The following is a 10,404-nucleotide window of genomic DNA, read 5'->3' as shown; positions in this document are numbered from 1 at the left end:
TCCAGCTGGCTTTATTCTTTTGACAAAGATTCACTGATGTGGCAGAAAGATGAGGTAAGGGGTTGGTAATAGCTCATCCTCATTCACCACGTGGTTTAAACTATTCCATCACTCACTCTATAAGAAAGCCTTGCAGGAAACCCAGGACATGCGGTTTTGACAGGATCTATAGTGGCAAGGAAAATGGAGAGGAACACAGAGGAAAGGGGAGCTGATGTATTATTTACAGTGGAGAACTTGAACAGAGTCAACTGCAGGAGTCAGCCCAAAGACTTGTATCTGTATGACTGTGGAATAAAGACAGACAGATCTTTGAATTTTCACTGCCGCTCTTTTTGCTGCTGGGCCAGCATGTGTGCGACTCATCTTCTCACTGTGCTGCAATCTGCCCTGCTACTGCTTACCTTTCCCTATGGCCCAGAAGAGGTAAAGACCTCAACAGAAACCTGTCTGGGCCTCTGTGGGTGAAATTTCGTTAGGTTGGCACAGAGGGTGTCTCGCTGATTGTGACAGGTCTAATAAGCGTGCAGATGGCAAGAAGCACACACACAGCCACTCGCGCACACACAGCCTCCCTGAAGTCATGCAGTGGGCAGAGAGGAGGGACTCAGAGAATCTGATCCAAAAGGAACAAAGGCTGCAGCCTCTGCAGTGGGCTGAGCGAGAATGATGGGGAGACGGCTACAGGAAACGAGAAGCGAAGTGTGAGAATCCACAGCAAAAGCCGCCACAGAGCATATGCATCGGACTTCACAGCTTCCTCCTGCTTCCAGCTTGCATTTGCTCCATATGCTGCTTTACACTGCTTTCCGGGCCATAATGGGTTTCATTCCATAGTTTTTATACTAACATGAATGACTCACATCTGCTCCAGTACCCAATTTGCTCTCTAATGTCTTCGGCTGTGAGGAGAGAACAGCTTACACAGAACTCGCCAACAACAGGAGTGGTAAAGAAGGTCCTGATCCAGGACAAGAAAGGTCAGAACCCTAAATGCGTCAGCTGGGAGGGTCTTTGAGAGAACATGACATTGCCGATGGGAAACCACAGACCCAGAGGAATGAGGAGCTTGGCTCAACAATATCAAGACTGAGGAGGTAGATCTGTTTTAGGAGATCCAGGAGAACCAGGAGAGTCCTAGTTCAGAGTGTATTTATTTTTTTTCATTTCCTGCCATGTTAAGTCTTTTGCTAGGAGCTTTTCCTCCCCATATTGGCTGTGATAAGAAAAAAGTAACTTGGATTAATCGCCAATGATAGCTAATCCCCCGCTGGGATCAACCATACTCTGCATTACTTAAGCTTGTTATTTTATTTATTCATTTTTTGAGACAGGGTCTCGCTCCATCACCCAGGCTGGAGTGCAGTGGTGAGATCATAGCTCGCTGCAGCCTCAAAATCCTGGGCTCAAGTAATCCTCCTGTCTTAGCCTCCCAATTGGCTGGGACTAGAGACACCTGCCACTTCGCCTGGCTATTTTGTTGTTGTTGTTGTTGTTTAGAGACAAGCTCTCGCTATGTTGCCCAGGCTTAAAGCTGGTTATTAAAGCGTTTCAAATATATTCCTGAGCATGGGGGACCCCTGGATAGACTGGGTTCCTGGAGAGACCTACAGAACTAGGCCCCGCATGGACACTCACTTCACTTCCAGATGTTTGAAGTCCCACTTGAAATCTACTTCAGTCCTAATGATATTTACTGGTTTGACAACCCAAACTGATATCTGATATGATCTCTGGATGGATCAGCTAATGACACCTAGCAAAACTGGATTCCCTTGACAGCTTCCATAGGCCCAGGAAATCTTCCTCACTTGAGTAGAGGACAAAATAATGATTTGAGAAGAAAATCATTCCTGGAAGGAAATTCCCACTCTCTGAGACATTGCAGTCCCTGCACGGAGCTGCCTTCACCCCAGGGCCTCAGTTTCCCCATATGCCAAACAGTCAGAATGAGGCACCTCAGCATCTCAGCAGTGTGGTGAGCAGCGTGGTGGTGCTGCACCATCTCAAAAGCTTGGCGGTGTTCTTGTGTAACTGTCTGCCATCTGTTACTCAGAAGCGGCATTACAAAGCGCTGAGCAATGGACTCCTGTGCTGCAGCTTCTGCCTGGAGCCAACAGCAGCTCAGCAGCTTGCCTGGGGGTCCCCTGCAGAGCCTGCAGCAGAACGCTTTGCAGGCCCGAAACTGCAGGTCCCGGGTGAGGCTCCTGAAAGAGGTCCAAGGTGCTTGGGATGCTGCAGAGGTGAGTTCTCTTGCTGCTCCCCCTACCCCTCCCATGATGATCATCTACCTGGGCCTTTGCTGGGACAAAGCATTGGCTGGGGAGCCTACTCCCACCTTTCAGTGTTCAGAGTTCTGATAAAGGCAAATGCTAGATCAACCCTGGGGTTCTGTGTGATGGTCTAAGAGCGCAGGTAGATCTTGAAAGGGCTGGCAACAGTGCTCACCTTTTCTGGGCTGTTTAATTTCAACTGCGGTTCCCAACCCCAAACATCTTATCTACAGTCCAGTCAAGAACTCTCTGAGGTTGAGGCAGGACTTCCCTGTGGCTGAAAGATAAGGTACCAAAAACAGGAGGCTTTGAGTAGACGCCTCCATTTCTCAGTACATGTCTTTGGGGAGACATCTTATTGAAGAAGGAATTCCAGAGCCCTGATTTACAGCTGTCTCACCTGTGCGGAGGTATGGGAGCTTGCCCTACACTGAGCTTTATGGGGAGAGAGGGGCAGGGAGAATGGTGGCTGCCACAGTGGGTGCATCGTTCTCACCTCCCCAAGAAACTCGATGAAGCAAGCAACCCTCCAACAAAAATGGCATGGTTCCCGCTGCCTCTGCTCCCCAGACAGAGCAAGGTTTCCCCACTTTGAGTGGTCAGATAACACCAGCACCTTGCATTCAGCTTTCACCACTACTCATTTGCTTGTCAGAGGAGGTATTTTCCCTCCATTTTACAGATGAGGAATCGAAGACTGGGAGAAGGTAAATGACTTACCCAAGACTCACACAGTGAGTGTGACAGCTAGGTCAGTACTCTCTGGTCAGTGATCTGGCCGTGATTCCAGCCTACTTGAGCCTACATGGGAATTGGAGTTAGAATTTGCTTTGCTTCTAGATCCAAGCGGTTTTAATCTGCAAGTGGGAGGGGGATACAATTCCCAAAGGCCCTTGGGAAAAGGGGCTTTTGAAAGATCACCCTCTGCACCCAGTATCCTCCTGCCCAGGGTCACTTTCCAAGAATCCCAAGTGGTTGTTCCAACTTTGGACCTCTTTTCTTGCAAGCACAAAGCCCTGATGCTTACAGGGAGAGAAAACCTTTATGGGAGATAATTGCGCCTTAATTTTTTAAAGGATATCTTTAAAGTTAAAATTAGACCAGCTCAGCTTTCCTTCCGTTAAGCAGAAAAAGTTACCAGGCACCTGCAGGCAGGCATAGAAACACCCTGGGGAGTTGGCTGACCGCGGCCTTGGCCCTCAGTAGCCAGGCAAGTGAACCGCGGGTTTGGGGCAGCAGCCCTGCCGGCGCCCTGGAATCCCAGCCTTGGCTGTGGTAGGACGAGCACATTGGGGGTGGGACCCCGGCTTCAGCGCCACGTGCAGCCCCCGCGATGAGCGGGAAAGTCCTCCCAGGCACAGCGCCGCCTGGCGAGGGCCGGCCCTTGGGTCCCAGCTGGCAGCTGGGGGTGGCGGGCATCCCGAGTGCACCGCTCCCGCCCCGCCCCGCCTTGCCCCAACCCACGATGGTCTGGGAGCTGCGCCCAGGGCTTGGCGCTGGCGGCCCCGCAACAGCACCGAGCGTTTCGGTCGGCGGGCGGCGGTAGCGCCCCCTCTCAGAGCCCCGCTCACTCCCACCTGGGCTCGCTCCGAGTCGGCCTGTCTGTCGGGCCCGCCCTCCCCGCTCACTCCCTCCGCCCTCGTGCTCCTCCCGGGGTGCTTGGCACAGCCTCGGATTCCTCCCTCTCGCTGCTCGAGTCAGTTTCCCTATCGGCGGCAGCGGGCAAGGCGGCGGCGGCGGCGGCGGCAGCCGCGGTGGCGGCGTGGGGAACATCTCGGCAGCCACCGCGCTTCTCCCGCTGGAGCGGGCGTCCAGCTTGGCTGCCCTCGGTCCTTCCCTGCCACGTTTCGGGTCGCCCTGCACCCCCCACCCAGGCTCGCTTCTCTTCGAAGCGGGAAGGGCGCCTTGCAGGATCCTGCCGCCCCTCCAACCGGATCCTGGGTCTAGAGCTCCCCAGAGCGAGGCGCTCGCCAGGACTCCTGCCCCGCCAACCCTGACCGCCGGGGGGTGCCCCCGGGACGTAGCGCCGCGGAGAGGAAGCGGCAAAGGGGACCATGCGGCGCCTGACTCGTCGGCTGGTTCTGCCAGTCTTCGGGGTGCTCTGGATCACGGTGCTGCTGTTCTTCTGGGTAACCAAGAGGAAGTTGGAGGTGCCGACGGGACCTGAAGTGCAGACCCCTAAGGTAGGCGGCTTGCCGGCGCGCTGGCGCTGAGCGGTGGCTTGCGGGAGGGCGCGCAGCCCGCGTGCCGGGTTTGCGGGCTCCCGGGAAACCAGGGCGAGGGTCTGGGTGCTGCGAGCAGGTAACAGCCGCCGGATGTGGCTACCATGTGATGTTTCTGGATTTTAAAACGCTCGGGGGCATCTCCGGACCCGCGGTGTGCATGAGTGGCAGTGGGTGTGGGTGGTGGGCGCGCGCTCGCCTGCGGAGCGGGGCTCCCAACTTGAGCTGCGCGCGAGGGTCCCGGGGCGGAGGGGGCTCTGCGGACGGGCGGCCCAGGGGCTGGCGGTCTCCGGGCGCTGCCAGAGAGTCGCCGGCGGTCGGGTCGGGCCAGCGCCCGGGCGAAGTGTGGCGGCTGCGCTGACCTCCTTCCCGCAGCTGCCAGGCCCGACCTGGGGAGGCCGGAGGCCGGGTGCGCCGCGCGCGCCTGTGCGTTGCGGGCGAGCGCCTTGCAGCCTCCCGGGCGGCTGCCACCCCTGTTCTCTAACTGTTCCCGACCCTCTCAGCTGCATTGGAAGTTGAATGTGCCCAGAACACCACGAAAGAGCCTGTAAAAACAGACGCCTTGGTATTGGCGGGGAGTTGAGGAAATGGGAATCCAAGTGGCTTTTCCAACTCCTGCTCAGTCAGTTCCTGTGAGGGAGCCAGAAGGTTCCCCCTATAGGCTCACTCTTACCTTCAGATTCAGAGCCCTGTAGGGGGAAAGGGAAAACTTCCCCATGGCTCTCCGAAGGTTCACTGAAAATCAGTTGACAAAAGGCAGATCAATAGGAGAAAAGGCATAATAATTTATTTGATCATAGTTTTTCGTGACATGGTAGCCTTCCGTTTTCTCTTCACAGATTTGGCCCGGGGACACGGAAGGAGGCCTCTGGGGGATTTCCTGGCCAGCCAGGCAGTCTTTATAAACTGGGTCCAGAACAGTCGTCTAGGGGTCTGGGCAAAAGCCTTGGAGGAGCTTATGGTCGGAAATGGGAGACTGAAAAACAGGAAGATGTGGGCGGGAGGTGGCGTCTCACCAGTTAAGTACAGTACAGAGGGCCTACTGTGTGCCAGGTGCATAGTAGGTGCCTTCCTCATAAGTAGTTGTAGGAGTTGGGTGGTAATATGCTTGTTTCATAGATCAGGAAAACAGGTTCAGGGTCTTTAAGTCACGTACCTTAAGTCGTTCTACTGGTTTGAACTCCAGCCTCCACGCTCAGGGTTTCCAGTATATCAAGTTGCCTCTCGGTTTCCCCTTTTTAACCAAGTCTTCTAGCACTTATGTTCTGGAATCTTGCCAATGCTTTGTCGATTTCAACAAGCATTTATTTAGCACCTATTGTGTGCTCAGGCAGTGTGTTAGGTGCTATGGGTAGAGAGAGATAGAATTTACTCTCTGGGGGGAGAGGAGTTCACTCATCATTGGACCAGGATGTGAGGTGTGCATAGGGCTAAGAGGGTTCAGTGCACTGGGTGTCATGGGAGCCTGAGGTCTCCCTGGAGGAGGAGGACATAACAGAGCTGAGCTGAGAAGGATAAACAGGTTTGTCAGTAGGTAGAAAGGGCATTCCAGGTAGAGGTTAACTGCATGAAACAGGCTCAGAGGAATGACACAGCACGTTGTGTGAGTTTGGCATAATTTGAGCACAAAGTATGTGGAGGTTGGAGGGATAAAGTTTAGGGAGGTGTGTAGGGGCTGGGTGGGGTAGAATCTTGTGGGTGTGAGGACTCTTGGAGAGGGTCAGGCAGTGAGGTGGCGAGGCCAGATTGATGACTTCAAACCACCTTTAATAGCACCAGATCACTTTTCTCACTCAGCCCCTGCCCATAGATCTGGAGAGCTTTTCTTCTTTTTCCCTAGGTGGTTCTGCTCCCTGTGATGTAGTTAATGATACCTGCAGGGACATGAACTTTCTCTGTTTTGCTTCGACCCTCATTACCTTAAGCTTGCTTATTCTTAGTTTACACCAGGGATCTGGGACAAGAGACCTGTTTCTTTCTTTGTGCACTCTTTGTCCCTCCTCCTCTCCTGCCTCTTCTTATCCTGGCGTGTGCTCAGCACACATCTATCACAGGCAGCTGTATGCCAGGCTCTGTGCTGGGTTTGGGGGCTGCTATGATGAGCACGCTGTGTCCCTGTCCTTTGGCATGGGGGTGGGGGGCCACATAAGTTGCAGGATGAGGCAGAATTACCAACAAATGAGTGGTACTTTAAGGTGGGGAGTGGTTTAGTAGCAGAAGTCAGGACATTGTACTGTGCAGTCACAAAAGAGGAGGTTTTCTAGTTTTGAACCAGTTGCTCTTTGTCTTAACATCTTGTTCCTTCTTTTCCTCATTTTCTGTATCCTTCTAGAACCATGAATTTTTATAGACTTAGAAAATCTTGACACCTCTTACTATTAGGTGTCTTCTTTTTTTTTTGTTAGTATTTTTCTTCTTCCTGTTTTTCCCTTGTATGTATGTCGCTCTGTATCTTAGTGTGTATGTACCTGAGAAGAGAGGAAGAAAGACAGAGACTCCTTAGGTAACGCCAGAACAGTTTTATTCCCTGTGACTTTGTATGACAAGTCCAAATTTATATGACATGTCCAAAGGAGCACAGTGGTACCGAAACCTGGCTGCATGTCAGAATCACCTGGTGAGCTCCATTAACATGCAGATTTTTGGGCTTACTACAGAGATTATGCCTCTGTGAGTTTGGGAGAAGGTTCTAGAATTACTGTTTTTACCAGGGTTGCATGTGATTCTGAAGCAGCCTATTGATGGGTGGCATTTGGGAGCTAGATGAAGAATACCAAGTCTGTTGATCGTGGTTTGGTTGGCTGCATGTAAATATGGTCAAATGATTTTCTTCTTGAGTGTGCTTATGGACCTAACCCATGTAAGCCTATGCATGCATGTTAAATAACAGCCACCAGCATTTCTATAGGGCTTTACAAATTCACAGACTCCATTTACATATATTAGTTCATTTAATACTCACAACTGCACAAGGGAGACAAGATAGTACTTTTATGCAGATGACATTAAGGAGGTGAAAAATTTGGCCCAAGCTAACCAAGCTGTCCAAGTGGCAGCATCAGGACAAGAATGGAATGGGATCCCTCCTGAAACTGCCCACTGCTTGCTTTTTCCATGCCGTTAAACCCAGAGACTGCCTGAATTGACAGCAGGAATTCCCCACCCGCTTCCCAGAGCTCCCTTGGCTCATCCCTAGATCCTCACCCTTGGAGAGCTCCCAGGGGGTTTGTGTAAGGGAGGTGCTAAGGCAGGAGCTACTGCGGAGGGACATCACCCCTGCCCTTGGAAGGCACCATGTGGGGCACAGGAGGCTCCCCTCACTGGATGGAGCACACCCTGATGAGGAGAGTCCCTGTGTTGGGTGGTTGCAGAGGCGTTGGTTTAGGAGGCCATTTGCCAGGGCAGAGATTGTTTCTTCAACAGTAGGAATTCGGATGGGACTTCCATCTATCATAGGGAAAAAAGTTGGTTTTTGAGTGAGTTCCGTGCTGTAGGTTTTCCTAGCGTGTAATCATGGGGACAGCTCTTTGCCTTGGACATGCTGAAGCCTTGGAGAGGTTTTCTTCCTGCTCAGGCCTCTAGGCATCTTCCCAGCATGGGTGAGGGAGTCAGCTTTTCTTCCAAAGCAAGAGGAGTGGGCTCCCTTCCTTTGAATGTATTCAGAGAAGTTGGGAAAGGTGTAGAGATTGGAGAGAGCTGTATTAAGGGCTCCTGGTCTGGGGAACTACCCGACCCTTAGATTCTGTGGAGCAGATTGCCTTCGGAGAGGCAGGTTCTGGTTCTGGGCCATCAGGCCCTTGTTCTCTTTTCCTCGTGGTCTTAGGAAATGTCTCCACTCACCTAGTGACAGGATCTCCAAAGAGGGCGGGATGAAATGAAATCTCTGGTCGCTGGGCCCCAGTGCAAGTGAAGTGAAGAAGGCATGCTACACTCCTGGCTTAAGGAAATTTATTAGACTTTTTTCTTAGTTTCAAGAAGGGCTGATTCTTTCTATTAATAGCTCAAGTAAAGAGTTCTTTAAATTTGACTTTTTAACGTTAATTTCATTCTTTTACTGCCTCCCCCCCAATTATCCAGCAAAGCTCTAATTTCTAACTGAAAAATCCTGTAACAAATTGAGTGTTTTAATTCAGACTGTATTTGAATGGTAAATACTATGCCACTTAAAAGTAGCTGAAAAATGTTTTAATTTCTTCTCTCCCTATCATTTGTTTGCCATTTGGAGAATCATACAATAACTGACTAAAATTTTAAAAATATCAGCAAATTTGTCTCTTATTTCTAAGAAACTAAATATAGTCCAGGTGTTTAGGGCTTAGTAAAAGCAAAAGAATTGTAGGCCTGAGGGTAATTTTCAAGGAAGGTATTGGAAATGTAAAGGCTTTGAATAAAATGCCTCTGGCCCATGTAAGTGTATTGGTGCTGTACTAGAAATACAACAAACACCATTAGAAAATAGCTTGTCTTTCTGTAACATTTGCATCCCACCAATGCCTTAAGTATATGACACTGTTATTTTATTCCTCATTTAGTAGATAATTTCTCTCATTAAAAAAAGTCATAAATTTTAGAGAGAGACCCTATTAATCTACTCATACTTGGTATGTGCATATTGGACTCTGTCCAGGGAATTTTGTAACTGTCCAACGGGTTCTTGTTGCCCGCTTCCTAGACAGAGCCAATGTATCAAGACAGGGGAATTGCAATAAAGAGTTTAATACACGCGGAGTGGCTGAATGGAAGACTGGAGTTTTATTATTACTCAAATCAGTCTCCCCGAAAATTCAGAGACTGGGTTTTTTTTTAAGGATAATCTGGCGGGTAGGGGGCCAGGGAGTGGGAAGTATTGATTGGTAGGGTTGGAGATGAGATCATGGGGAGTCAAAGCTGTCCTCTTCCTCTGAGTCAGTTCCTGGGTGGGGGCCACAAGACCAGATGGGCCAGTTTATCGATCTGGGTGGCGCTAGCTGATCCACCCAGTGTAGGATCTGAAAAATATCTCAAGCACCAATCTTAGGTTTCACAGTAGTGATGTTATCCCTAGGAGCAACTGGGGAGGTTTAGAATTTTGTGGCCTCCAGCTGCATGACTCCTAAACCATCATTTTTAATCTTATGGCTAATTCGTTAGTCCTACAAAGGCAGTCTGGCCCCCAGGCAAGATGGGGGTTTCTTTTGGCAAACGGCTGTTTTCATTTTTGTTTCAGGGTTCTTCCCAAAGTTAGTGCAGCCTACACCCAGGATTGAACAAAGACAGCTTGGAAGTTAGAAGCAAGATGGAGTCTGTTAGGTCAGTTCTCTTTCACTGTCAATTTTCTCATTGTTGTAATTTTTGCAAAGGCAATTTCAGTGTGACTCTGGCATGACCAGAAGTAGCCCATGATGAGATGCATGCTCATCCTTTCAGTTGCTGTGTGGGTGCCTGTACAAGGTGCTGTGCTTTCTTTCCATTCTAAGGCAGTTCCCAGGAGCAGGTGTCTGGGTGGTGGTACACAGCTGGCTCCTGCAGAGGCTCTTGTGAGTGACTGAGAAATATGCAAATGGCAGGTTGGGATCCCAGGTAGTCAAGAAATCATATGTGGTCACTTCTTAGATGTCAAGAAGCTTTTTCTAAAACAAAAACAAAAACAAAACCACTGAGCCTCTATCCCATGGGTATGGTGAGAAATTCACCGTGGGTCATTTTTGGCCTATTCTGGGTTGTCCCAAGGCCCGGAGTCCAGGCCTCTGGTTGTCAGCGCTGAGTCAGTGGCGGATGTGCTGTGTCCCAGCTTCCTTTCACTCTCCTAGCCCACTCTCTCCCCCAGGTCCCTGCAGGAGGCCCTGTCCCAGGGACCTGCAGATGGAATCTCTTTTAGTCAGGCTGGGGAGCTCTATCTCTCCCTAACCTTTGTTTCCCAAAGTGACCTG

The 10,404-nt window shown here is 50.6% G+C and overlaps 1 protein-coding gene across 8 annotated transcripts in view; it reads left to right on the top strand.

Moving 5' to 3' along the window:
• GALNT14 (polypeptide N-acetylgalactosaminyltransferase 14) overlaps nucleotides 3,974-10,404 on the top strand; it is a 251,659-nt gene continuing 245,228 nt past the window's right edge. For 7 of the 8 annotated variants that reach the window (XR_007081588.1, XR_007081587.1, NM_001329097.2 and 4 more), the window contains exon 1: nucleotides 3,974-4,456. Coding sequence is in view for 3 of the 8 variants with exons in the window: in NM_001329097.2 (NP_001316026.1) it covers nucleotides 4,328-4,456 (129 nt within the window). In the remaining 5 variants the exon portion in view is untranslated. Of the gene's footprint in view, nucleotides 4,457-9,767; nucleotides 9,785-10,404 lie in introns of those variants that run through there. The other variant, XM_047445827.1, reaches the window with a different exon arrangement.

Source organism: Homo sapiens, chromosome 2, assembly GCF_000001405.40.
Source record: "Homo sapiens chromosome 2, GRCh38.p14 Primary Assembly".
In the NCBI taxonomy this organism is placed as follows: Eukaryota; Metazoa; Chordata; class Mammalia; order Primates; family Hominidae; genus Homo; species Homo sapiens.
This window is presented reverse-complemented; position numbering and strand designations above follow the sequence as displayed.